The sequence below is a fragment of the Homo sapiens genome, chromosome 16 (genome assembly GCF_000001405.40).
Source record: "Homo sapiens chromosome 16, GRCh38.p14 Primary Assembly".
Lineage (NCBI taxonomy): Eukaryota > Metazoa > Chordata > Mammalia > Primates > Hominidae > Homo > Homo sapiens.
The window spans coordinates 49,821,244-49,848,740 of NC_000016.10; the positions used below are offsets into that span (position 1 = coordinate 49,821,244).

Genomic DNA, 27,497 nt, shown 5'->3' on the forward strand with positions numbered 1-27,497 from the left:
CCACAGGGTGGTGGGGCGGGGGCAGGGGCGGGGGGCGATGGGGAGCCAGACCATGGATAGCCTGCCAAATGTCATCTGGGGCTGGCTTTAGAAGAGAACCAGAGCTGGGGAGGCAATGCAATTATTTAAATCCAGAAAGAAAAATGTTTGCTCCCAAATTTGGCAGCAGATGATTGCCTCTGATTCTTCCCATTTCCAACTGATTCCATGCAAGCTTAAGTGGAGGAAGCTTCAGGCCCAGAAGAACGCACAGGATGAGGGTCCCACACCTGGGCTCGAGGCGTGGTCTGCAAAGTGAAAAGTCCTGCTCTGTGACCAGATGAACGGAGGGTCTCACTCTAAGGCCTTCAGGGGTGGCAAAGCACATTTTTCTTTAAACCACAGGTTGTAACAAGAAGAGATTTCTCTCTTCCTTTGTTTCTCCCTGTCTCTGCCTTTGTCCCTGCCTGGCAGCCCCCTCCTCTGCCCCTGCTGCTCTCTTTTTCCCTCCCCCGGTGTGTGCGAAGGCCGAGCCTGGCTGTCACTCAGGCCCTTCTGTGGGCCCAGGGAAGGAGGCCACACGGGGCTCCCCAGGCCTCAGGGTATTTATTACCACCCCCGACAGCCCAGACCCTCTGCAGCCTCCAAGGCTGTGCTCAAAGGCGGTGAGGTCTGCTGTGCACAACCATGAAAGGGCCTCTGGGGGATGCATTCAATGCCTCCAGTTGGGTCTTCCTCTCTCTCCCGGAGAAGGTTCAATCACTTCCACATCCCTATCCTGCTAGAGGAAAGAGCTGGGAAAGCCGAAGATGAGTAAGAAGAAACACTCCAGCAGTCCCTGGTTGGCTGGTGAATTCCAACAGCACGTGGGCAGGATCTCCTGATACAGGAGACTGTGGGAGTATTTGGGCTGAAATGACAACCCGTTTGCCTAAGTCACCCCCGCAGGAATTTTTTTTTTTTTTTTCTGAAATGGAGTCTCTCTCTGTTGCCCAGGCTGGAGTGCAGTGGCGTGATTTCAGCTTGCTGTGACCTCCGCCTCCCAGGTTCAAGTGATTCTCACGCCTCAGCCTCCCAAGTAGCTGGGATTACAGGTGCCCACCACCACGCCTGGCTAATTTTTGTGTTTTTAGTAGAGACAGGGAGTCATCATGTTGGCCAAGTTGGTCTCGAACTCCTGACCTCAGGCGATCCACCTGCCTCAACCTCCCAAAATGTTGGGATTACAGGCATGAGCCACCACATCCGGCCCCCTGCAGGAATTTTTAAATCCAAGTTAGATGGGGTCAAGATGATGTTGCTCCTTCATCCTCCCCAGGCAAGGCCCCTAGCTGAGTCAGAAGGGATGAGACCCACATTGTCCAAGAGAACTAAGCTCTAGTTCGAGCTCCTTCTGTCTGCCTACTTCCCTTGCCCCACCCCTCAGCCCAAGGCCTCCCCTGCTCACCCCTCTTCTTATGCATCCATGTCTTTCTTCTTTTACAGGGTAAAATCCATCCTTCTCCAGGAAGTTTTCCTGGGGGAATAAATACAAAATTTCTTATTGCAGGCTAGTAAGCATGTGCAATCTCCTGGTGAAATAACACTTGTATACCCATTTGACAGATGAGCAAACTGAGGCTCAGACTACTTAACGACTTGCCCAGGTAGTCATCTACGCAGCCAGGATTTAACTGCTTTTCCAGATACACAAGTGAATTTTCAAAGCCTCTGGATGGCTGATCCCCTGTCTTGAGCAAGGTCCTTCCCTGGGGTATGGCCCAGAGGTCAGGATAGGAGGCCCTAAGGCATCCTCACCTTCTCTTCAGACCACCCTGGTGACTAATGACTCTGGGCAAAGCAGAGAGGCCCGAGTCGGGGACAAGGCCTGTGATCGACCTTGAACTTAAGAAGCTCCAAGCTCTCACCAGCGATGCTAATGGGCCAGGAGTAACCTGAGCCAGCCCTTGGATGGAAACTCAAGCCATTATGCCTGGCTGGCCTGCTGGTCGGCTGGCATCACTACCTGGACAGAAGCCTCACTTCTCCATTTCACGGGGCTTCTGTTCAGAGCAACCTTTTCTCTTGCAACAACAAAACAGCTCCCATTTATCAATCACTGACTAAGTGCCAGACACTCTGCTAAGCACTTTACACACATTATCTTGTTTAATCTTCACAGCTGTGCAGAAAAAAACGAGTGTTAATGCTGCATCACAGGCAAGGAAACTGAGGCTCAGAGAGGATAAGGAAGTTGCTCGAGGGTGCACAGCTAGCTGGTAAGCTCAAAGCTGGTGTCTGAACAGGCCTGTGTTCCTAACCAGAGTCCTATGCTGCCCTTGGAAGGAGATTCTTGCTTGAGATTATGGATAATTTGTTTTAATATTTTTTCAAAATGCTCTGCAACATTCCGAAAGGGAAAGAAAAAAGTTATAACTTGTTGGGGGAAAAAAAAAGGAGAAGAAGGAGGCAGAGGAGACAGTAAGAGGAAGGTTGGGTAATCTGCGAAGTTACCGTGATATGTGGAGGGAAAATACACACACACACATACACACTTGCACATGTACACACACCAACAGGCTTCATCTGTCATGTATCTGGGATTTTGTGTTAAAGGGGCCGGGCACAGTGACTGACACCTGTAATCCCATGGGAAGACAGAGGTAGGAGGATCACTTGAGCTCAGGAGTCCGAGACCAGCCTGGGCAATATAGTGAGACCTCTCTACAAAAAAAAATAAAAATTTGGTACACACCTGTAGTCCCAAGCTGCTCAGGAGGCTGTGGGAAGATCGCTTGAGCCCAGAAAGTGGAGATTACAGTGAGCCATATAATGCCACGGCACTCCAGCCTCGATGACAGAGTGATAACATCTCAAAAAAAATTTTTTTTTAATCCAAAAGGGTAGTTTTTCTCATCTAGGGTTTAGATTATTAGTGTCAAAACTGGGGGGGAATGTCCCAAAATAAATTATTCCCTATCATGCTTCTAAGCTACCCAAGAGACTTCTAAGCCCACAGCCAGGCATTGCGTCTCCAGCCAGACACTGCACACGCTTCCTCAGAGTCCTCCCAGCAGTCCCAAAGGTAGAGATTAGAGCCCCCCTGTCACAGGTAGGGACCCTGAGCCTCACAGAGAGTAAGGTACAGGCCCATGGTTCCTCAGGTGACAAGAGACAGAGCCAGGTTTTGAACCCAGGTCAGCCTGCTTCCAAAGCACTTCCACCCTGCTTGCAACTTCCAATCATGCCAATACCAAGTTGGGGGTGGGGGAGGTGTGCTGTTGCTAAGTGGTCTCAGGCCAGGAGAGAGAGCTACAGAGATGCTACACAGAGCCTGAGTGGCAGGAGAGTGGCACTCAAATCCTCAGCTCTGGCCAGATTTCAGGAAGGCAGGAGCACTGGGTGGGGAGCCAGGAGACCTGGGCACCACCAGAGCTCCAAGATAAACTTGGGCGAGTCACTTCCCATCTCCAAGCCTTTCTAAGCCTCAAATGCCATTTTCCTGCAGAACAGGAGCTTTTCTGGGTCTCACTCCAGAAGGAAACCTGACCCCTTGCTTTCCCTTCCTGGACCCCGCCTCTCCACCAAATGCCACGCTGCCCAGAAAAGGACGAGATTCCAGGGTGCCCCGTAAGCAGAGGCCCTGAGAATCCAATGGGCGGGCACCTCCACCCACCAGCAGCTGCCCTCCTCTCTGATGCAAAAGAAACTCGTGGGCTGGTTTTTAAGACTCGAAATAAAGTTTAAATATTACGTGGAAATTACTAAACAAATCAAATCACTGTTAAGTAGATGTCACAGGCTTCCTCTAGACAATACATTTAATGAAGATTATTGTCCTCCTGGTTATAGTTTTAGATTTGCATTTTATTATCAGAGAACCACTTATGCATTACTCCAGGATTTTCATTAGGTAAATAAATTTTTATGTGGATTTCATTATATTCCCTTGGCTGAAATCCTGATCACTTAACAGCAAGAATGCTGCTCCGACATCCTGTGTGTCAATCAGGATGTAACTGTTTCCTTTGGTTGTTGAAAATTACTTTTTAAAAAATCTGGTGTTGATGGCAAAAGGAAGAGAGATAGGGTCAGAACTCTGGGTAGGTTTTGTGTCCAGTTCTTTCACTGAAACATACACACACCCTAAAAAGAAATTTTCTATTTAAAAATAACACATGTAATTTTACATACATGGGATATATAAGCTCCCATTCTCTCTTTCTCTCCATACATATATATAATATATACTTTTTTTTTTCCTGGTGTCACTTTGGCCTCTCAGATGTAAACTGACACAATGGCACCGGGTCTAACAGGACTGAGGTGCAGGTCAGTACCAGAGAAATAAAGTTGAAAGAAACAAGCTTGGAAGAAGCAGGAAGGAAGGCAGTGGGGGAGACATTCCTGGAAAGGCAGCCATCAGCAAGAAAAAAAAAATCTTTTCTAAGAAGTCTAATATGAAGCAATTAAGCTAATTGGAATCTAGATTGTAGTGGGTGCCTCCGGAAACTTGAGACCAGGGGACTCTCTTGCTGGAAAAATCACACCTCAATATCAATGAGCGAGGGCGTGAATGAACGAAGTGGTCAGAAACAGACCATAACATCCAGACCTAATCCATCCAGCCCCCTAAGACACAGGCGGTTCCAGGCCCTTTCCGAGGGACCAACAAGGTTTCAGAAGAATGTACTAATAATAAAATCTCTTGCTTATTGAAAAGGGCTGGCCAGGTGTGGTGGCTCACGCCTATAATCCCATTACTTTCGGAGGCCAAGACAGGTGGATCTCTTGACCCCAGGAGTTCGAGACCAGCCTAGGCAACATAGTGAAACCTCCATCTGTACAAAAAATACAAAAATTAGCCAGGTGTGGTGGCATGCACCTGTAGTCCCAGCTCCTCAAGAGGCTGAGGCCAGAGGACTGCTTGAGCCCGGGAGGTCGAGGCTTCAGTGAGCGGAGATTGTACCACTGCACTCCAGCCTGAGTGAAAGAGCAAGACCCTGTCTCAAAAAATAAAAAAGAAAGGGCTGTCACATGCCAGGGATGGGCTTTGATGTGCATTATTACATCTGTCTCTGGTCAATCCAGCCCAGAGGACTCAAAGAGAACCTTCCAAGATGCCTTTCTTAAGAGCAAATGAGAGAGGCAAAGCTCTCAACATGGCCAGGGCACGCAGCAGCAGGGGCTACCCAAAATGCAGTTAAGGGGAAGGGGAACAAGTCAGGCTGGATTGATTCATGGCATCTTCAACCTTAACTCCTGCCCAGAGCCAGGACTCTGATGTTGAGGTCCCAGTCCCTAACCACCTGTGTGATTGGGGAAGGTCATTACCCTCCCTAACCCTGTTCCTTGCCTGTGATAATAAGAATAACAGCACCAACCTCATAGAGTTGCTGTGAGAATCGAAAGAACTGAATAGGGACTGCTTATGTCTAGTGCCTGGGACGCAGGAAGGAATCAATACATGTTCACCATTACAGGGAATGTTTTCTACACAGAACTATCAGCCTGAAAGTGAGTCACTTTCCGACAGTTCTTTCCAGCTGTTGATGACTTACCAAAACTACCTGGACTCCAATTCCAAGTTCTTTAAGGACGCAACAAAACCTCCTTAATCTTCGATCCCAAAATTAGTCACCTGTGATACTCAAGTAGGGGTTTGACTAAGCATTTCTCTCTGACCTTTGAAAAGGCCACTGGGGAAGAAAGCAAAGGGACATGATAAAATGAGGATGCCTGAAAGGAGGGTCCCCGCTGCAACAGTGGTCCTCTTCAGGGGGACATTCCGGAGGGTTTGATTTTCTTCTCTATAGTTTTGTGTAGTATTCTTATCTGCTGCAATTGAGCAAGTATTGCAACATTTTAAGGACTTTACCATTCTGTGAAGGAAAAGATATTAAAAAATATAATTGCCAAGCAGCTCAGAAACATCTTCCGCATAAAATAAAAGAGATACATCTCCCGGCCCAGGTCAGCCATCTGACCTCATCACCCACTTCTCCCGATCACCTGCTCGCTCCAGCCTCCAGCCACAGAGCAGGCCCCCGCCTCATCCCTCCTCAAACACACCAGACAGTCTTCACCAGTTCCCCCACCCCTCATCCTTCCTTGTCTTCCTGAGCCCTCGTCTCTGACAAACTGTATACATTTCACTTCCTTGTCTGGTTACCAACAACAACAAGCAGAACATCAGCTCCAGGAGGGCAGGGGTTTGGATGTTTCTCACTGCAGCAGCAAGAACCCTACCTAGTCTGGGACACGACAGACGCTCAGTAATACTTGATTGGATGGAAGAATGAATGAATGAACAGCTAACTTTTTTTTTTTTTGAGTTGGGGTCTCATTCTATCTCCCAGGCTGGAGTGTAGCGGCTCAATCATAGTTTACTGAAGCCTTGAGCTCCTGGGCTCCGGCAATTCTCTCACCTCAGCCTCTCGAGTAGCTGGGACTACAGGCATGTGCCACCACGCCAGGCTAATTTTTGCATTTTTATGTTTTGTAGCAATAGGGTCTATGTTGCCTGGGCTGGTCTCACACTTCAGGCTTCAAACAATCCTACTGCCTCGGCCTCCGGAAAAATTGTTATGTTGCCTTTTTTTTTCAGTGGGGGTAGAGAAAGAGCTATTCCATTCTTTTTCTGGGGGTAGAATATCCCCTAACCCTGGGATTATAGGCGTGAGCCACCATGCCCAGTCTGAATGATTAACTTGAAATCACTCTTACACATTTATTAAAGCAGCCCCAAGAATCTCTTTTTACACACTTTCTTAGTGACCCTAGTATGAACTGCTAAAAGAACTTCCTGGAAGTACAAGTGCAAGCCATTTCGTTGACTCTTCTCCGATTCAGACTTTTCACGAAATTCACAGTGGCCTCCTGCCCAAAGAGCACCACCAGATGGCCCATCTCCAGGGTCCTGACCCCACATTCCAAATTCAGGCATTTTTCTTGAAGAGCATTTATCACTCAATCAAGCCACCCACCCTGCCAACCCTGAATAACACCACTTACGGGAGGCTCAGCCATCGCTGCTTAGAATCTCACTTGTCCTCAAATATCTCCTGTTTATCTTGGTAACAGTCTACATGAATAGTCCGTTTGTTGGAAGAACATAATATTTTCCTTGGCTTTTAGGCAACAGTCTGGCAAATGAGCATTTCCCCATGTAACTTGTGATGGCTTTATGCGAGCAGTTAATTAGAATTACACAGACATGTTTATAGAAGTTTAAATGAAGCATAGTTCGAGTTTGTGAAAATATATATAATTACTCACACCGACACTTCCCACTGAAAAAGAAAAGGCAACATAACATAAGCAAGTTCCCTAAAAGCAACAGCAGGGGCCTAGAAAAGACTCCGCCAGCTTAAACAGCTCCACTTTGAGGGACTTGGGGAGACCAAACCCTGTTGGGGAACCCACAGACCCACCACCAAATGCTTTGCTCATTAGACTCACACTGCAGCCAACAAATTCCCCAAAGAGCCCCTGGGCGGGCGCCATGCTCCAGGCGAGTCCTGTGTGGATCCTTGTACATACACTACAGTCCCGCCCACGCACACGCAGAAAGGCCATCATCTGTCCCACAACCGGCTATGGAGGAGAGGTCTGGAGACCCAGGGAGGCTCTTTCTCTACCCCCAGGGAGAATGAACCGTATTTTTGGCAGGCTGAGGACTCAAATTAGGGAGGCTTCATGGCAGGCTGGCCTGTGGCCTTCAAGACCCTTTCTAGCCTGGTTCCACTCGCCTCCTGGTCTGATCCCTGCTCCCGCTGGGCCCTCATTCACCCTCCAATGTTGCCAACCCAGCCAGAGCAAGCCGTTTTCTCCTCTATCCCCAGTCCCACACCAACAATGCAGCAGCACCCATATCATGTGGCTGTCCCCAGACCCACGTCATCTGAGCCCTGGGGATGGTCAAGCCGGCTATTCCAGGCAGTTACTCAGATTGCTTGTTAAACTTGAAGGAATCACAGCCAACTCTTTCCACCTCTGTGTTGTGTAGAATGACCAACTGGCTCCCAGATCAGCCTTACAATCTGGCATTGGCAATCCTCACAACGGAACTGCTTTCCCAGGAGTGGGCTGGGCTAGATACCCCTGAAATGGAAGGATCCCACTATCTCATGGACAGAGGGAGTCCCCAGCAGTGTAAACGAGCCCTCCTTCTTTGAGCCCGAGAGTTGGAGGTGGCAGTGAGCTATGATCACACCACTGCATTCCAGCATGAGTGACAAAGTGACACCCTGTCTCTAAATAAAAATGCAAAAATAAAAACTGTCCTGGAGCAAAGTGACCAAACCTGTGCAGAAAGGGTCAGATCCAGATGTCCAGACCAGCATCCATGTTGCCCCCTGGCTTCAGCGGGCACCTACCAGCCAGGAAGGCGGCTGAACTGTGTCCAGACTCCCTTCCTCAGCCCACTCCGCTGCACAGGTTCACCACTGCATGCCCTACCTCCAGATTGGATTTTTTCACAGAAGTGGCCCTTGGAGAAGCCCTGCCAGCAATCCCAACACTGTCAAGAGAAGTCAGCTCCATGGGCTCATGGAGAAGTTCTTGTTCTTCCTCAAAGAACAAGAAGAAATGTGGGGGCTCCAGTGGAGAGGAGGACAGAAACAGGAAAAAAGAGACAGGAATTCAGGTAAGATGGGGGACAAGCGGCTCCTTCATTCAGTCAATATCTCCTAAATGCCAACTACATGCCAGGCACTGTGAATCCCTTCTCCATCCCACTAACCCTTTCTCCTGAAGCCTAGGGACACAAGAGTGGGCAAGTCAAACCTGGCCCCTGTCCGGGGACAGTCGAGCGGCCACTGAGGAAGGAACTGTAAACAAGTGAATACATCAATAAATTCCTACTGAGAACAACTCACATGACATTAAAAAGAGCAAGAGAGAGACAGTAACAGCAGTGGGCCCACTTTGGGAGAAGGGTCAGGGAAGGCCGCGCAGAAGAGGTGACATTGAACCTGAGTCCAGAAGAAGGAGAAGGAGCCAGGCAGGCTAGTACAGAGGAAGAGTCTCAGTCACGGGGAAAGCCATGCAGAGGAAAGAACGGCACAGTCCTAGGACATGAGTTGAGGCCGGGGGACTGATGAGATGTGAGGGAGAGCTCCCATGACATGAGGGAGATGCTCCGGAACCTTGCATGGGAAGAGACAGCCGCTCACACAAGCTCCCCCAGACAGTGCTGGGTGCTCCCCAGCAGCCTTTCCCCCTCCTTCTTTCTTGCTGGCCTAATTCAAATTTTGCTTGAACATCCCCAGATTCACTAACTCCAAAGGGAGCTCCGTATGTTGGCCTGAGATTGGTGCAGGATGTTCAAGGGATGCCGTTGTCAACACAGTGAGATACAAGGGAGGGAACATGGGGACATTTAGGAGAGGTATCTTTCCCCTAAAGACAGGCCTGTGTCAGGGAGCTTCTCTCTCCTGGTCTTTGGACACTGATGTGTCGGGGGGTGATGTCTGGCACCACAGCAGCCATTTCTTCATCATGAGGAGACAAATCCGAGGGCACCAGCCAATGAGTTGAGCAGGACAGAGCATAAAGACAGAAGGCAGCTCGATCTCTGCTGACAGTACTGAGCTGCTCAGCTAAGTTCTCTGCAGCCACACTCCTCCACACTTCTCATCCTAGGAGATCTCACAGCCCCTCATGCTTGAGCTTTTCCGAACTTGGATTGCACATCTTGCAGCTCGAAGCATCCCAGGTGATACAATCCTGTGTCAGCCAGCCAGTTCCACCAAAATTGAATTTCTGACCTGACTGCTTGCTCTTCCTCTTTCCAGAAGACCCTGCAGGTTTCTCTGCACCGCTCCCTGCCAAGAGGAGCTCCAACTATCAGAGATGCAACCCTCTCCCCAGGGGAATTTCACAACCTCAGGGTGTGAGGGGGAACACCTGGCCAGAGCCAGAGCAGTGACATGGTCAAAGTACAGCTCATGAAGACTGAGGCAGGGGGAGAAGAGAACAAAGCGTTATGCTTAATGACACCACCCAGAAATAAAGAGTTAAAGAAACCTCAAAGCGCCTGAGTCCATGTTCTACAGTGAAATCTTTCTTTATTCATTTTATCTTTGTAAATCTCTCTTTACTTATTTTATCTTTGTCTTCAAGAACCCTAGGAAATGGGTTCATTTTCCCTATTTTATAATTGGAGAAACAAATCATATAGGGTCAGGGTTAAGAGGGCAGATCAAATCCCAGTATCTCCAATTATTTACCAGGTTTGTGACCTCGGGCAGCTGTATGACCTTGGGCCGCAGAGCCTCAGTTTCCTCACCTATAAAGCGGAACTAATATAACTATTAGCTGGAGCTGCTGTGAGAACAGCATGAGACCACCATACAGGGCATGAAACTCCCAGTGACTTCCCAAGGCAGTCCATGATGAAGGCCTGGAAGCACAAAGGGATCAACAGGAGCTGTTCTCCCAGGGGACACTTGGGACACCCAGACTACAGGGAAGAGCGCTGCACAGTGAAGAAATTATTGATAAAGTCTGAGCACGGTGGCTCACGCCTGTAATCCCAGCACTTTGGTAGGCCAGGGTGGGCAGATCATCTGAAGTCAGGAGTTCCAGACCAGCCTGGCCAACATGGCGAAACCCCATCTCTACTAAAAAAAAAAAGTACAAAAAAAATTAGCCAGGCATGGTGGGGCGTGCCTCTAGTCCCAGCTACTGGGGAGGCGGAGGCAGGAGAATCACTTGAACCAAGGAGGCAGAGGTTGCAGTAAGCACTCCAGCCTGGGTGACAGAACAAGACTATCTCAAAAAAAAAAAAAAAAGGAAGATGCCAGTATTCATCAGTTTCACCTGCTTTCTTTGTTGCTTCTGACTTTTCCTCCTCTAAAGTGGAGGCTCCATAAAGGCACCAAATATCCGAGGGCCCTGGCCACCAAGGCTGGGTCATCTGGGGTGTGGGGCAGGCATCATTCCTTAGCTAGAAATCCAACTCCAGCCCTGAAGCTTTGTCAAACCATTCCCTTAATGGACAGGTATTATTCTGGGCCCACTTAACTCCAGTAGATTCCAAAATCGGGCCAAGCCAGCTGACCGAGCTGGGCGGCGATGCTGCCTGAGTCTGAAAAACAGATTCTGAGCTCATGAAATGCCTGTCTTCTGGGGTAGCAGGCCCCAGAGAGATCTGCTGAGGAAAAGGCCAGGAATGTTCTGAGCAAAGACAAGCTCCTGGGAATGAGGGTGTGACCTCGCAAAGCGACTCCCTGTCCATATCTCCACCCCCAGCCAATATGGACATCAGGAGAGCTTGAACTCACAGCCACTGGGGCAAAGCCAGAAGGCCCAGGAAGAGCTCCTCAAATAGGCGCTCCTCAAATAGGCAGGTCCTGAGTGGGGCAAGAGGGGGAAGGGTACAGCCAAAAGATGCAGGAGCAGTTATGACAGGTCAGAACAGAGCACCCGAGGGGCCAGGTGAATCGCTGACTTCAAGCCTACAGGGCACATGGTGAACTGAGAGGACCCACTGCAAGCAGGACCCTAAATTCCCCAGGGGCCAGGCAGGGACATCAATGAGTGACTTCAGCCAAGGTCTGGACTGTGATGGACAGAAGAGACATGCCCACCTACAGAAGCAGTCACCACCCCCAGCCCCAGGATGGTAGCCAAGCCTGAAACGGGGACCTTGAAGTCCCAGATCTACCCATTGCTTAGGAGACAGAAGCAAGAACTCCGATTTTTTTCTGTGACATCTCCAATCTCTCAATGTTGATTTCTTTCTTTCAAACACAGCGCAAGCCAATCAAAACACATCTGTGAGCAACACTCAGCCTCCAGCCTCCAGTTCGCAGCCTTCATCTAAAAGGTTGGAAGGGCAACATAAAGGAGTGGGCGCTCAGGTGAGCAACCCTCCTCCTCGCCCAGCCTTACCAGGCCTGGCCCCTCATGGGACCCTGATTGGAACTGGGGTCCACGCACAAGCTTGGGGAGGTTTATCCGCTTTCACAAGCTCCGCCCAGCAGGCAACACCCAGAGCCCAGGACTCCAGCCAGGGGAACACCACTCCGCAGAGAAAACCCTCAGCACTTGGCTCTTCCTGGAGCCTGAATTTCCTCCCCAAACAGGATGGATTTACGTGCGAGAGCAAAGGCCTACGCATGCGCCCAGCTCCAGACCCCGGTATTTATACAGTTTCATAAACTGCAAGCGATTATTTTGTTTCCTAAGAACAATCACTATGCAAATGAAACCTCCAGCTAATACAAACAGGGCTGTTAAATTCACTTGCCAATGTTTATGAAAAGAAACTCAGCCTGGCCCTAACCAAGCTCGCTAAGAAAATGTTTAATCACAAGACACATTCGAGTGAGGAAATTAGGCAAATAAGAAAAGATGTCCTGACTTCGCTCCCAGAGCCCCCTCCCACCTCCCACCCCCTCCTTTATTCGGCAAGACAATGATGGTGAAATGAAAAGGTTCCCAGAAGACGGACAGATGTCAAGGCTTAAGAAGGAAAAGACAGAAAATGCAGAGATTAGGGAAGCACTGGTTCCCAAATTTCAACAGCCCCCTCAGGACCTTCCCACTGTATATGTTATACTTGTTTTTCAGGGATTTCGTGGGAAGGGAGGAGGGGAGCATGTGCAGGGGGGCAGCAGGGCTGGGTGGGCAGGGAGGGCAGGGAGGGCAGGTGGAAACTCCAGGCCGCTCCTGGATCCTGGCTCTTGCACTTGGCTCCTGTACTCGGTCAGGCCACTGGACCACAGAACTGGAACTCAGGATGGAGCGAGTTCCCAGCTGGGGCGGGCAGTGGCCTTGGCTTCGCACAGCCTGTCACAGGGCAGGCGGCAGGCTTGGGGACCCAGCCAACACCCGAGCAGGACAGAGTGAAGATCCCAAGTCCTCAGTGGGCTGGGCGGTTGTCCCTGAAGAGTTAACAGCCCCAGGGTCAGGATCAATTGGAGGATGTTAGGGCGAAGAAAAATCATCTCATCAGGCTTGCCTGGGCTTAAGGCCCTGCAGTTCCACTACATACAGCCTATATAACCTCAAACAAGTGACTTCCTCTCTCGGTGCCTCAGTTGCCTCATCATGAAAATACAGATTGAGACAGCATGAACACAGTGCTGTGACAATACAAAGAGACCCTAAACGTAGTCAGCAGTCCTGGGAACACAGGCGTGTTTGATGGAGGTTAGCTATCTGCTCCAAGTCCCTCAATGCACAGATGAGGCCCAGAGAGGGTTGGTGGAGTTCCCCAAGTCACACAGATAAACAGCAGACAAAGGATTTGACCCCGGCTCCAGCCTCTCCAGCAGAGATTTAGGGGAAGAATGGGTGGAGGCCAGGGCTGGGCCCTGCCCTGCGTCCCCTCTGGGAAGCACGCTCGCCAAGGAGGCGGTGGTAGGAGGGACCTCTGGAGCCACTGCTCCCTGGGGTTGGGGGAAACCGGAGCCTGGTCCTGGCAGGGCTTCCCAGGGGCCCGGGCAGGGGCAGCTGTCCAGAACTGTCTGTCCACGGAGGGGGCAGGGTGGCTGCCACTCGGAGCACGCTGTGTGCCAGTCCCTGGGGCCGGGCCGGCTCAGCCTGCAGGCTCCATCCAGAGCCCGCCCCAGGGGATGCTGGGGGAGAGCGCCAGGATCAGAGCCGCCGGCTGTGCGCTCCCCTCCCCCAGCAACAGGGGACTAAAGTGGGTCAAGGAGGAAGGAGGGGGCCCAGGAGGGCTGGGGGAGGGGCCAAGGAGCTTGAGAAGGCACCCAGGGGGAGGGGACCAGGGGAAGATGCCTGGAAAAGCAAAACCATGTGTGCAGTGCGCCTTGGGGGGCCAGGGCTGAGCGGCAGAGGGGCTGCTGAGGCCTTGGGGGGAGTCTCAGAATCACCTCCGGATTAACACCAGGGTGGCTGAGCCTTGGCTCTTGCCCCAGAAAGTCAGTCCTTCACTTTCTCCCACCCCCTGGCCTTGGGGGGCTCCCTCTTCTCTGAGGCCCTCAGCCTCTTCCAGAGCCCCCACACCCCATGGGCCCCCAGCCAAGGGGTCTGTGAGGAGCACTTTCAATCAGTGCTGGCCCCCTGGCTCAGCCCTGGCCTTGAGCCCAGCTGTCCAGCCGGGAGGTGGGGTCTGAGGAGGGTGGAGAGAAGAATACAGACAACCCCATCCTGGGCCCAGACTCAGCAGGACTGTGGCGGTGCCAGGCCAAGTCAGGCCTCATCACCGGGAAGAAGGGTGAGCATGGGCCCCACATCCCCGCAGAGGCGTTCCTGGGGGACCTGGTGCAAAATAAAAGGGAGGAAGGCAGGAAATGGCAAACAGCGACGCCCCCTAGCCAGGAAGGGAAGCCAGGCCACAGACCCCTCAGAGACAGGGCTGGGGGCCCACAGTCTGCTCCGGGGAGATGCGGGCCAGTGGGCAGCCTCCACCCCTGGCTGGGCCTGACCCAATCATCAGCTTCTCTCCCAGCTCCCCCACCCGGCATGGCCCAAAAAAAAGGGACGCAACCACCCAAGCAACTCGATATGGTCCAGAAACCTCCAGGGTCCCCAGGTTCCAGGAAGCCTGCATAGGAGGTGGTGGGGGGGCAGAGGATGCAGAGGGTCCGGTGCCTGGGAGTAAGGTTTCAGCAGGGAGGGGAAGAGGAGCTGCTGCTCCCGGGTGTTGGTGCCAGTTGACAGGCAGCCGGGAAAACGGGGCCCAGGAGGGGCACACACCCACAGGTTCCAACTTAAGCCCCGGGGAAAATGCTGATGGGAAGAAGAGGCAGGCTTCCAGGCCAGGTCCTGGGCCCAAGGAGCAGTTTGGGTGGAGACAGAGAGAGGCCCAGAGGACAGGGCCCTGTTTTGAATCCCTCAGCAAGGCCACCTACCCCGACAACCACAGCTAAGATTCCTAGCTGAGCCAACTGGACTCCTGGGGCCTTGTGGGGAAAACACAGTAGAAAGGAGGACCCCCCCAGCCTAAATACCTTAAATGCAGCAAACACCTCCAACTTCGCACCTAGCAGAACAGAGGTGCTGGCCTAGTTGTGCCAGGCCTTGAACCTTGCTGGGTGTGCAGTTCCCAAAAAATCAGGAAGCAAGTACAGCCCTGCCCACCACCTGTCTCAAATGTCCCAGGACTTGGCCTGGGACATCCTCCACCTCCAACCTGTCCAAGCTGCTTCTCTCCCAAGTGAGCCTCAGGAGCAGGCCCAGTGGGGGAGGGGGTTGGCATGGAGGGAAGGGGGACTTAGTCACCAGCTGGGTCTCGGGGGATCAAGGTGTTGTCAGCCTCAGAGTTTACAGTCTGCCTCCAGGAGCTCTGGGAGAAGATTCCGGCATGGTGCTGGCTCACCAGGTGTGTAGACAGTGACCCTGGCAGTTACTCAGGCAGGCACCAGGCATGGGGCAGCCTCACTGTGACATGTGACCTTGGACCTCAGGCTGACCTTCAAAGCTGCCTCACCCACAGGATGGCGAACATAATGGTACCAACCTCACAGGGCTGCAGAGGGGATTCATGAGAACACGTGCAGGAAGCCCTCAGAGAGCCCTGGACGCACAATAACCTCAGTAAATACTCCCCATGAATGCCCTTATCCCCTCCTGATGCTCCTTCTCCCCCACTGAACCTCTCTCCACAAGAGCAGGCTTGGAACTCTCCTACTAGTAAGAAGGCAGGACAGGATACAAAGAGAGGTCTGGGACCAGGCCCAACCTTGTCCAACACGTCCCAGTAGGAAAATGAGCTCAGACCCTGGGAACCCAGGACAGGCCTCTACATTCCCCTGGGAGAGCCTGAGCAATAGGTATTTTGAGCCAACAGATACAGGAAATTCAGAATAAAGCCCACTCAGATTCCCAATTCAAAGTGGACTGTGGACGCCGGGACACATTGGAGCAACTGTTTCCTCACTGGCCTGGTTTGATGTCTGGGGGATGGGGGCAGCTCAGTGTGCAAAGCCAGGCTGAGGGACGTGGGTGACAGTGATGGAGCATCTCCCTCCACCTCCCACCCCAGTAATGTACAGAGGGGGCCCTGGCGAGCTGAGGCCTGGGGGTCAGGGTCCCTGTCCATGGGATATGGAGACCTTGGAAAGGAGCAGCCTGCCTGCCAGCTGGACACAGGCCCTGCTACACGTGGCTGTGTGAGCCAGGGCAAGGCTGTGTGCGTCTCTGAAACTCCTTTCCTCAACTGGCAAATGAAGAGGGACAACCCCTCCCCAGACCCCCACAACCTACTCCCTGGAAACTTGGAGGTGCCTGTGAGAGCCTCTGGAACCACACAGTGCACAGAGGTTGTGCAAACCTTAGGGGTCATTTAAGCACAAGGCCCCGGTGGCTTTCCCTGGGGACTCCCCAGAAAGAACCATGCACCATGCTGTGTGCACGCATCAACAGGCCACCTGCAATGCCACCCCAACCCAGCCATCTCTCCCAGTACCCGACCCTGCCTCTTCCTTCATCCCTGCTCCAGCCCTTCCAGGAGAGCCTGCCAGCACTTGCCCCTGCCCCTCCAGACAGTCACACTCAAAACTCCCCCAGATTTTGTCCCATCATGTCCTCGTGGACAGAGACTATGGCCTCTTCTTCTCCCTCCTTCCCCACATGGGGCGGGCCCAAGGCAGGCAGAGGCAGCCCTAGTGAATGAGTTCAGAGCCAGAGGAGACTAGCCACTGTCCTCTGCAGTTCCCTCTCATCTTCCTACACCAGCGGTCACGTCACTTCCTCTGCAGTGCCCTCCCGGGAGGACCTTGTCGAAGTCAGATAAGCCAGAGCGGTCTCTCAATGAACAATTACAATCCGGGGAGCTGCTCACTCTTTATTGTCTGTCTTGCTACTAAGCCGTAAGCTCCCTGAAGGCAAGGACCCAGCACTAGCATTTGGCCCATCACAAACTCAGAACTATCCATCCAGTGAATGAATGAAGTCAAGAAGGATCCATCCAGAGAAGGAATTTTAAGCGGCAAACCCAGAATCATGACTCAAATCTGTGTGCCAATCTTCATCTGTAATTTACTGGATACGTGCTGATGCACTGGAAGCTGCACCCCCGGGGCCAGGCCTCCAGCCCACCACGCAGGCCTGGGCACCTTGCAGGGGCTGAGCACAGTTCTGGGGCTGGAGTGCCTCCGTTCAAATCTTGCCCTAGCTGTGGGGCACTGGGCCATTTATTTTACTTCCCCGTGCCTCGGTTTCCTCCTCTGTAAAATGGGGATACACATCACGTACCTATTTCACAGGGGTGCTGTGAACCTTGAATGAATCAACGAGTGTTAAGTGCTCAGAACAGTCCTCAGTACCTGGGAAGTGCGCTCAGCGGCATTACGTGTATGAGGATGTACCAGGGAATGGCCCTGCGGCTGTCACTCGCCTTCCCCCAGCCCCACCCCAAAGCGGAGGCCCGATCGGGGTTCCGGTGCCCCAGGGCTCCCGAGGCGCACATCTGGCTGGCGGGCCCGCAGCCCACCCAAGGGCGGCACCAGCTGTGGGCTCGACGCCGCCGTCCCCAGCGCTGGGCCTGGGACCAGGAGTCCTGAGGGCGCCAGACTCCGAGGGGCGGGCGGCCGGGGGGCGGCCCGCGGCGCAGAACAAGCCAGGCCCCACCCGGGCCGCGTGAGCGAGCTGCGCAGCCTGCGCCTTCCCAGCCGGCCCCCCGCCGCGGCCGCTTTGTGCCCGAACCTGGCCCTGAGTGACTGCGCCGCAGCCATGGAGCCCTCCCGCGCGGGGGGCGGCCCAGCGCGTTCCCAATGCCGCCGCCTCAAAGGGGTCCCGGGGCCGCCCCCGCGGGCCGGGCAGACAAGGGCCCGGGAGGGGCTGCGTTCCCAAGCGTCGGCCGGGCTCCCCTCGGGTAGCTGGGCGGGAAGAGCCCCGAGGCCCCCTCCCCTGATTTTCCCCGCCTCTTCCCAGCCATCCCCCCTCTTCCCCGCCTCCTCCCCAACTGCCACCCCACCCTGGATTTCTTCCTCCTCTCCGACCCTTGACCCCTTCCCCTCCCCCGCGGTTTCTCCGTCCCCTCCCCTCATCCCAGGACCCAGATCCTACAAGGCAACTGCGCAATCGGACTCCAGGGGGACCGTGGAGGGTTCAGATCCCACCTCCCGTCCTGGAAATCTCGGCCCCCACACCCAGACACTTCCTCCCACCCCACAAGCCTCAGGCCACAGCCCTGGCTTGGAGAAGGGCTAGATGCCTTGGAGAGGGGCCGGCCTCTGAGGTAACGGGCTGTGGGAGCCTCCTGGCCCCATGTGCCCATCTGTCAGATGGGGGTGGGAACGTGGTCCAGTGCCAGGCACAGGGAGCAGTGCAGTGGCCCGCACAGGCAGGAGTTCTGCCGGGTGGCGCTCACAGCAGGCAGGCCCAGGGAGGCCCATCCTCTGAGCCCTCCCAGTTACCTGTGCATTGAGAGGCCTGCATGTCTGCAGCGGAGGAGCGGGACATGACACTGAGGTCCCCAGGGCAAGACTGGGACCCTGAAGCGGCTTCTGCCCAGAAACAGCCCCAAGGAACTGACTCGCGGCCCCAGGAAAGCCTCCAGAGAGAACAGAGCCGGGCCCCACCCAGCCTGCTGGCTGAAGCTGCAGCCTGCACCTTCCCAGCCGGCTCGCCGCCCTCCCAGGGTGAAGAGACAGAGGCTCAGAGAAGGACCCCCACCTGCCACAACCTCCCAGCCTCCCAAAGCATCAACCACAAAGACCTCCAGGCCCCCAGCTCCCCTCATGAAGCAGCCCCCTTCACCATCTGGGATCCAGCATCACCTCCAGGATGGCCTTCTCTGCACAGCCTCCCTGCCTGCCCCAGAACCTAATTTGCTTAACAGAAATATGCTTGCAGATGGCTCCTCACTCAACTAGAATAAACCTGTCCACGTGGTGGCCACAGCACCTTGAATACTGCCTGGTACATAGTAGGTTCTCAGTAAACATGTGCGAGGAATGAATGAACAAATGAGCAGCAGCTAATGATAGCAGCTCCTAAAAGCCTTGAAACCTAAACCGTGCCCCAGATAAGAGGATTCCATGACAAGTGATCAAATAAGTTTGGAAATCACAAATTATTAACATCTCTCAGAGTCCCACGCTGGCATTTTAAGGGCTCCGAGAAGCCGTGAAGTTTTTTTAAAAAAAATTTTAACTCTGTTTAATCCAGTGTTTGCCAAATGCATTTGGCGACAGAAAACTTTTCTCTTTTTGGGGGGGTGGAACATCAACAAAATCCTGGAATACATTTTGGGAAATGCCAATATAAATTTATTTCCCATCCTCACAACCACAACTTTACACATGGCCAGCTGAATCTTAGAAAGGAAGAACTTGCTTCTTTCTCGTTACAGGGTCAGGTTAAACACAATGCTCCGAAAATATCTCAATGAATGGATATAAAGTAAATTCATAAGCAAAGTCTACCACCCACTAGTATGTTCTCTGTCCCTGTACTGAGAGTCTGAATCACGCAAGCAATTTGAAGAGTCTCTTTGCCCTGGAAGCTGGCACATATGACCACTCACACAGGCACACACATGCACACACACATATGCATTCATGCACACGTGTACACACTCTCGCATGCATCCACATGCACACACTAGTACACACAGACTCACACACATGCACACACATACCCAACAGGTACCCACACAGACTCAGACACACGCACAGTCATGCATGCACACTTATGTGCACATACAGGCACACAGACTCACACACATGCACAACTATTATAGGGCATATGCCCTCCCACACAGCCGCTTCCCTGAGCCTGGCCAGGAAGCCCCTTGAGAAGGGCAACTGTTTTCTGGTGGGGTGGGGAGGACGGATTCGAGGAGAGATCCAAAAGCCCCCTTCAAACCTGGTGTCTCTAAAAAGGGCAGGGTTGCCCCAGCAAATGACAGGCTAAAGCCTGAACAACAAGCTCTTCCTTACCTGAGATTTCCTCCTCACCTCTCTCCTGGGAGTAGAGCCCATTTCAAAGGAAAAGAAACTGAGGCTTACCAATAACATGGCAAGGACGTGGGGAAAGAGGGGTAGGAGCCCAAATCTGTCTGCTCAGAATCCTCCCCCCACTCCAGAAGCTTGGGGATCCTAGGTTGTTCCGAAGGCAGGACAGTGGCAGCAGCAAGATCCTCCAGCTCCCCCTTCTCCTATCCCCAGGCACAATTCTGCCACAAGGTCACTGTATGACCTTGGACACCTAGCTTGCCCTCTCTGGGCAAGTTTAATCATCTTTATGAAAAGGAACCTCAGCTGAGGGTTCTCCAAGCTCCAGGACTGCTGGTAAAAAAGAAAGCCTAAGGTCCCCACCTCAGCAGTCAAAAGCAAGTGTCAGGATTCCATGAGGTACTGCCCGTAACGTGCATAGCCCAGTGCCTGTATACAAGGGGTGCCCATTAGAGGCTAGCTACTCTTGGTGTTGTGATTCCATCCCTCAGGGACCAAATAAAAAATGCTACCCGCTCTTCCAGGCTTTACCTGATTCCCCTACCAAAGGGAATCCCCCGAAACTCTCTCACCCCTCCCACAGCCCTCAGCCCACACTTCTGTCCTAGGCTGCCTTGTCTGGTCCAGTGGTTAGGGTCTACTCCCCTCTCTGGCCTCCAGGCTTCCTGAGGACGTGGCCTCCTCTGCGTTCTCTCTGCATCTTCCTTGGAGCCTAGGCTAAGCCTCACCTGAGTCAGATGCTCAGGATTTACATGGAAGGATGGATGTGAAAGGGAAAGAAGGAGGGCAGACAACCAAAGGACTCACCAAGGGAAAGAAATGCCCATATCTCCAAGCTCTATAGTGCAGTGACCCTTCAGAAGAAGAAAGAAAAATGGCCAGGTGCTGTGGCTCACGCCTGCAATCCCAGCACTTTGGGAGGCCCATGCGGGCGGATCACCTGAGGTCAGTAGCTCGAGACCAGCCTGGCCAACATAGCGAAACCCTGTCTCTACTAAAAATACATAAATTAGCCAGGCATGGGGGGCAGGCGCCTGTAATCCCAGCTACTCGGGAGGCTGAGGCAGGAGAATCACTTGAACCTGGGAGGCAGAGGTCACAGTGAACCGAGATCGTGGCACTGCACTCCAGCCTGTGCGACAGAGGAAGAGAAGGGAAGGGAAGGGAGGGGAAAGGAGGGGAGGGGAAGGGAGGGGAGGGGAGGGGAGGGGAGGGGAGGGGAGGGGAGGCGAGGGAAGGGAAGGGAAGGGAAGGGAAGGGAAGGGAAGGGAAGGGAAGGGAGAGAGACAGGAAGGAAGGAAGGAAGGAAGGAAGGAAGGAAGGAAGGAAGGAAGGCAGGCAGGCAGGCAGGCAGGCAGGCAGGCAGGCAGGCCCATAAACATAAAAGGCCAGGTGTGGTGGCTCGTACCTATAATCCCAACATTTTAGGAGGCCAAGGTGGAAGGATCACTTGAGCCCAAGAGTTTGAGACCAGCCTAGGCAACATAGCAAGGCCTCATATCTTGGGGGGGAAAAAATAAAAGGCAACATCACTAATAATTAGGGAAGTGCAAATTTAAACAATGTGCCATTTTTTGCCTGCCAGATTGCCAAAAAGAAAACGGAAAGAGAAAAAGGCTGGGCGCCGTAGCTCACGCCTGTAATTCCAGCACTTTGGGAGCCCAAGGCAGGTGGATCACAAGGTCAAGAGATTGAGACCATCCTGGCCAACATGGTGAAACCCTATCTCCACTAAAAATAAAAATAAAAAATTAGCCGGGCGTACTGGCATGTGCCTCTAGTCCCAGCTACTCGGGAGGCTGAGGCAGGAGAATCACTTGAACCCGGGAGGCGGAGGTTGCAGTGAGGCAAGATCACGCCATTGCACTCCAGCCTGGCAACAGAGCAAGACTCCGTCTCAAAAAAAAAAAAAAAAGGAAAAAGAAAAAACAAAACATCATCACATACGGGCAAGGATTAGGAGAAATGTGCATTCATGCCCTATTATTGAAGGGTAAATTGGTACAGACTTTGTGGAAGGCAATTTGGAAATATTTATCAGATTTTTCGAGTGAATACCCTTTGACCCAACAATTTCACTTCTAGGAATCCAGCCAAAGAAACACTCAAACAAGAACACAAAGGTTATAAATGAGGATACTCCCTGCATCATCATTTAAAACAGCAAAAAACTGGAAGCAACTAAATGTTCACCAATGGAAGACTGTAAATAAAGTCTGGTGCAACGATTCTGTAGACCTCCTTATGGCTATTAACATGGAACAGATTTATATACTCTAGGTGCTATCTCCTAGACTAATGGTTCCTAACCCTGGCTGCACATTCCAATTACCCCCATCCTCAGAGATTCTGGATTATTTCATCTATGGTGGAGCCCAGGTAATGTTATTTTTTAAGTGCCTAGGATGATACTGATGTGCAACTAACCAAGATTGGAAACTTAACTCATGTAGCTAACCCTACTAGTTCTATCCTATTTCATAGAAAACTGAGAAACTAGGAAAACATAGAAAACTAGGAAACTGAGGCCCATAGAAGGAACTGTCTTGCCCAAAGTCAGAGTATGTTTCCTCCAACCCCCTCCCCTCCCCAAGGAGAGAAATGAAGGAATCTTGACTCAGACCTTCAGGGAGAATGGGGTCTTTCTTTTCTATTCTGAGTGATTGGCAGGTTCCCTACCAACACATCCCATTTCCCCCTCCCGCCCACTTAGCTGGCCCCACCCCTCACTCCTAGTGCTGTTCCTAGGGCAGACCACCCCCCCTCCAAAGATGAAGAGGGTCCCAAGGCCACTTAATGGTGGCTGATCCCTGGCCAGGATCGAGCTGGTCAAATGTGTTTATTCTGAGCCATGGCAATGATGTAGCAGGATGAGCGTCACAGGCAGGATGGCAAGGTTATTGAGTTGAACATTCTGTTTTATTTAAAATTAAGTCCAGGCACAGAGGCGTATGCCTGTAATCTCAACATTCTGAAAGCCCGAGGTGGGAGAATCGTTTGAGACCAGGCTAAACAACACATGAAGAACTCCATCTGTTAAAAAAAAAAAAAAAAAGAGGCGGACATGGTGACTCGCACCTATAGTCCCAGCAACTCAGGAGGCTAAGGAAGGAGGATAGCTTGAGCCCAGGAGTTTGAGGTGGCAGTGAGCTATGATAACATCAATGTACTCCAGCCTGGGTAGCAGAGCAAGATCCAAACTTTAAGAAAATAAATAATTAAAATTAAATTAGTACAAAAATCTCACATTGCTTTTATCATTTTAAAAGCAATGTTTTACAAGCCTAACACAATCCATGACACAAAGCCCTCGATAAACAGCAGCTGCAATCTCACAGCACAATGTACCCTGAGTATGAAGGAGAACCGGCATCAGCCTCTCCCAGCCGGGTGTCCTGCAGCTCCCACCTCCTCATCAGGAACAGAGGCTGGGGCAGCGGGAGGGGCCCACAAAGACTGACTCTCACGGTGAACCCAAGTCCTGCAAAGGCCTGTGCTCCCTCTCAGTTCACCCACTCACTTATCCACTCATCACTTATGAATCCATTTACTCATCGAGTCATTTACTCACTAGTCACTCATTCATTCATTCACTTGTTCACCCATTCATATTTATTCCCCATTCATATTTATTCCTTCAACAATTCACACATTCACTCATTCATTTAATAAATATTGGCGAGGCCCTGTGGCTCACGCCTGTAATCCCAGCACTCTGGGAGGCTGAGAAGGGTGTACACCTGAGGTCGGGAGATCAAGTCCAGCCTGGCCAAATGGAGAAACTCTGTCTCTACTAAAAATACAAAATTAGCCACGTGTGGTGGCACATGCCTGTAATCCCAGCTACTCATGAGGCTGAGGCAGGAGAATCATTTGAACCCAGGAGGCAGAGGTTGCAGTGAGCAGAGTTCGCGCCATTGCACTCAAGCCTGGGCATCAAGAGCGAAACTCCATCTCAAAAAAAAAAAAAAAAAAAAAAAAAAAACAAATCTTTTAGACATAATGACCCAGAAGATTGAGGCCAGATTTTTTTGTTTGTTTGTGTTTTTTGGGGTTTTTTGTTTGTTTGTTTTTGTTTTAAGATGGAGTCTTGCTCTGTCACCCAGGCTGGAGTGCAGTGGGTTCCAGCGATTCTCCTGCCTCAGCCTCCTGGGTAGCTGAGATTACAGGCGCATGCCACCACGCCTGGCTATTTTTTTTATTTTTAGTGGAGACAGGGTTTCACCATGTTGGCCAGGCTGGTCTCAAACTCCTGATCTCAGGTGATCTGCCCCCCTCAGCCTCCCAAAATGCTGGAATTACAGGTGTGAGCCACTGCGCCCAGCAATTTTTTTTTTTTAATGGATGAGAGGTTTTTTGTTTTAATGTTGCCCAGGTTGAACTCGAACACGTAGCCTCGCCTTCTTATGCACCGGGACAACAGTTCTGAGCCACCACGGCTCCCATTTTTGTTTTGTTTTGTTTTGGTTTGTTTTGTTTTGAGAAAGGGTCTCACTCTGTCACCCAGGCTGGAACACAGTGGCATGATCATGGCTCACCACAGCCTCAACCTTCCGGGCTCAGGTGATTCTCCCACCTTAGCCTCCTAAGTAGCTGGGACTACAGGCTCCTGCCACCACACCCTCCTAATTTTTTTTTTATTTTTTGTAGAGAGGTGGTTTCGCCATGTTGCCCAGGCTGGTCTCGAACTCCTGAGCTCAAGCAATTCACCTGCCTCGGTTTCTCAAAGTGTTGGGATTACAGGCATAAGCCACCACTGCACCCAGCCAAGGCCATTTCTGAATGAGCATGGAGCCCTGGAAGCCCAGCAGGCTGCTGGCATCCCATACATGAGACCCTTCCCCTGAGAAAGGCAGGACATGGGGCTGCTGGAGGGACTGGGGATTTGAGCTATTCACTGTGGCCCCAGGAGGTGGAACCAGGACCAACACAGAGAGGAGACTGCAGCTTCATGTGTGAAATTCAAGCTAAAAAGCCACGGATGAGGCCGAGGCAGGCGGATTACCTGAGGTTAGGAGTTCGAGACCAGCCTGGCCAACATGGTGAAACTCCATCTCTAATAAAAACACAAAAATTAGCCAGGCCTGGTGGCACATGCCTGTAATCCCAGCTACTCGGGAGGCTGAGGCAGGAATTGCTTGAGCCTGGGAGGTGGGGGCTGCAATGAGCCAAGATCGTGCCACTGCACTCCAGCCTGGCTGACAGAGCAAGACTCTGTCTCAAAAAAAAAAAAAAAAAAAAAAGGCATAGATATGCCACAGAGGTAGTGAGCGCCCTGCGAGTGAAAGTGTGTACGTCCAGGCTGGATGAAACCAAGGTTGCCAGAAACACACCCAAAGAAGTGTAAATGAAGTGAGCTCCAAGGTTCCTTTTCAACCTGTGTTTTTCAGGATTAGGAGAGGCTCAAAGGCAAAAACAGTGAATCTTCCCAAAATGTGTGTCTGGCCCCTGGCTGGCCAGCGTCTCCCTAAGGGGCACAAGGCATCTGCAGGGGCTGTCCTGGGCACTGAGAACCCGTGCACTGCTTGCTGCTCCCCAGAGACCCCAGCACTCTCTGTGGCCTCCACCCCAGAGACAGAAGCCTGCCTCCTCTTTCCATCTCCCCACTTCAGGGCACCTGCTTCTCCTCCCTCTCCCTCTCCCTGGGGACCCTCAGGAGCTGATGATTGTCTCTCCTCTCTCCAAGTTCAAAACTGCAGCCACAGGGGGTGAGGGACAAAGCCATATCTCTTGTTCAGGAACCAAAAATATACTCTATGTTGCTGGTGGCTCCAAGGTTCTGCAGCCTCCAGGCCAAGGAGGTCCCCCTGCCCAGTCTTCCAGCCTGAATGTGTAGTCATACCAACCCAGCTGCCCTCTCCAGCCATGCCCACCTCCCTAACTAAGCCCAGATGGTCATCACTCTGCCTTCAGGCAGGTAAAATTCAGTGCAACAGGAGTTAGGTGAACAGTATGTTTTATTTAATTAGGATCAACAGAAGAGATAAACCTCACAGCAGGATAGGGAATGACAACACTGCAAAAAATAATTCATGCCCAGGTAACGAAAGGGCAAATTTCAATTACAGAGAAAACAGGGGGAGAAAAAGTTTCCAAGCACCTCCAAGGAGCGAGGCAGTGAAGAGTTTGCAAAGCCTAGACCTTTGGGCCCAAGATGGTCTAGAAAGCAAGGCAATCAAGTGGACAAAACAGCCATTCTTCTCTCTCCTTGTCATAGACAAACTGGCCTAAGTGTGCAGGACTGGGTAGGCCGAGGGAGCTGAGTCCTGGCAGGCAGGCATAGGGGCCACAAGGGATCTGCCAGGGCCACTGGGCAAGCTCGCAACCCACCAGGCACAGTCTCAAAAGAATGCTGTCCCCACAAGGAGACAAAACAAATATTCTAATCCTAATAATGGTCATCAGATCACTCAGCAAGTCCTTATTAGCACCCCACCTGCCCTTTCCCCCAGCCCTGATGGAACCCTAGTCTTATGCCCTGCCCTAGCCTTGGACAATCCAATCTCACCTCTTACACTAGAACAAGGCAAAGAACATACCCCCCCGCCCCCCGCCGAGAGAATGGCCTCATCTTCTAAGCCTCTGTTTCTCATTCTTACCCTGGAAATGGGAGGCTGGCCTGGATGACCTCCTCTGGGGTAGTGGGCTGCAGATCCCTAATCCACCATCATTTGGGTGCCAACTATAAATGAAAAATTCATGGTGGTGACAGCCCGACAACAATGTGTATGTACTTAATGCCTCTGAAAAATGGTTAAGATGGGCCATGCAAGGTGCCTCATGCCTGTAATCCCAGCATTTTGGGAGGTCGAGGCAGGAGGATTCCCTGAAGCCTGGCATTCAAGACCAGCCTGGGCAGCATAGACCCATCTCTACAAATAATAAAATTAAGAAATTAGCCTGTAGTTCTAGCTACTCGGGAGACTGAGGTGAGAGGACTGCTTGAGCCCAGGAGTTCAAGGCTGCAGTGAACTACGATCACGTCACTGCACTCCAGCCTGGGGGACAGAGCAAGATCCTGTCTGTAAAAAAAGGAAAAAAAAATGGTTAAGATGGTAAATTTTAAGTTACGTATATTTTATCAAAATTGCTTAAAAGCAGGAGTTGGGGGATGAAGAGATCTAAGCCCCTCCTCAGACCAGCCAGGTGAGCATCTGCAGGACCTGGGCCCAGGAATATGCAATTTAACCAGCTTTATTGTAGGTGACGGTGATAGGCATGACAGCTGGGGATCCACTCATCTGTATGAAGCCACCCTTTCCCCAAACAAAGGCTCCCCAGCATAATGCTTGAATTACCTCAAAAAATACTTCTTCTGCAAATGAATATTCAAAACAGTGAGTTCTCCAACTTTCATAGCACAAGCAAATCTTTTTCTGTATGGGTTCTCCCTCCAAAACAAACCCTCGAGAAGCACAAGCATAACCCAGGCCTCTGTCTCTCTCCCGGCCCCTGGTCCCTGCTCCAAAGGTGACATCAGCCCCAGCACCCCCATTATCTGGGAGAGGGAAATTGCTGTTAAATTAGCACATCCACAGAGCCCCATTTTATATCCCAATTCAGAAGATGACATGAACATCTGCTTTCACTTCAAGACATTAATTTTCAATTATTGGAGAAAAACAAAATTAGTCCTGACAAATTGCTGGCGAATACAGGCTC

At 51.8% G+C, this 27,497-nt stretch overlaps 1 protein-coding gene across 9 annotated transcripts in view, besides 7 other annotated features; it reads right to left on the reverse strand.

The window, feature by feature from the left end:
* Positions 1-539: an enhancer, noted in NCBI's record as "H3K27ac-H3K4me1 hESC enhancer chr16:49855155-49855693 (GRCh37/hg19 assembly coordinates)". NCBI's record gives its function as "activates a minimal SCP1, AML or CMV promoter by ChIP-STARR-seq in naive H9 embryonic stem cells {active_cell/tissue: H9 hESC(naive)}" and the evidence as "EXISTENCE:reporter gene assay evidence [ECO:0000049][PMID:30033119]".
* ZNF423 (zinc finger protein 423) overlaps positions 1-27,497 on the reverse strand; it is a 371,756-nt gene that overhangs the window by 333,720 nt on the left and 10,539 nt on the right. For 4 of the 9 annotated variants that reach the window (XM_047433804.1, NM_015069.5, XM_006721171.5 and 1 more), the window contains one exon: positions 1,427-1,495. The exons of the other annotated variants lie outside the window; for them this stretch is intronic. In XM_047433804.1, the coding sequence (XP_047289760.1) occupies positions 1,427-1,495 (69 nt within the window). Of the gene's footprint in view, positions 1-1,426; positions 1,496-27,497 lie in introns of those variants that run through there. 9 annotated transcript variants of the gene reach the window in all.
* Positions 540-1,077: an enhancer, noted in NCBI's record as "H3K27ac-H3K4me1 hESC enhancer chr16:49855694-49856231 (GRCh37/hg19 assembly coordinates)". NCBI's record gives its function as "activates a minimal SCP1, AML or CMV promoter by ChIP-STARR-seq in naive H9 embryonic stem cells {active_cell/tissue: H9 hESC(naive)}" and the evidence as "EXISTENCE:reporter gene assay evidence [ECO:0000049][PMID:30033119]".
* Positions 7,137-7,684: an enhancer, noted in NCBI's record as "H3K27ac-H3K4me1 hESC enhancer chr16:49862291-49862838 (GRCh37/hg19 assembly coordinates)". NCBI's record gives its function as "activates a minimal SCP1, AML or CMV promoter by ChIP-STARR-seq in primed H9 embryonic stem cells {active_cell/tissue: H9 hESC(primed)}" and the evidence as "EXISTENCE:reporter gene assay evidence [ECO:0000049][PMID:30033119]".
* Positions 13,890-14,720: an enhancer, noted in NCBI's record as "H3K27ac-H3K4me1 hESC enhancer chr16:49869044-49869874 (GRCh37/hg19 assembly coordinates)". NCBI's record gives its function as "activates a minimal SCP1, AML or CMV promoter by ChIP-STARR-seq in naive H9 embryonic stem cells {active_cell/tissue: H9 hESC(naive)}" and the evidence as "EXISTENCE:reporter gene assay evidence [ECO:0000049][PMID:30033119]".
* Positions 14,721-15,550: an enhancer, noted in NCBI's record as "H3K27ac-H3K4me1 hESC enhancer chr16:49869875-49870704 (GRCh37/hg19 assembly coordinates)". NCBI's record gives its function as "activates a minimal SCP1, AML or CMV promoter by ChIP-STARR-seq in naive and primed H9 embryonic stem cells {active_cell/tissue: H9 hESC(naive and primed)}" and the evidence as "EXISTENCE:reporter gene assay evidence [ECO:0000049][PMID:30033119]".
* Positions 16,382-17,211: an enhancer, noted in NCBI's record as "H3K27ac-H3K4me1 hESC enhancer chr16:49871536-49872365 (GRCh37/hg19 assembly coordinates)". NCBI's record gives its function as "activates a minimal SCP1, AML or CMV promoter by ChIP-STARR-seq in naive H9 embryonic stem cells {active_cell/tissue: H9 hESC(naive)}" and the evidence as "EXISTENCE:reporter gene assay evidence [ECO:0000049][PMID:30033119]".
* Positions 18,043-18,871: an enhancer, noted in NCBI's record as "H3K27ac-H3K4me1 hESC enhancer chr16:49873197-49874025 (GRCh37/hg19 assembly coordinates)". NCBI's record gives its function as "activates a minimal SCP1, AML or CMV promoter by ChIP-STARR-seq in naive and primed H9 embryonic stem cells {active_cell/tissue: H9 hESC(naive and primed)}" and the evidence as "EXISTENCE:reporter gene assay evidence [ECO:0000049][PMID:30033119]".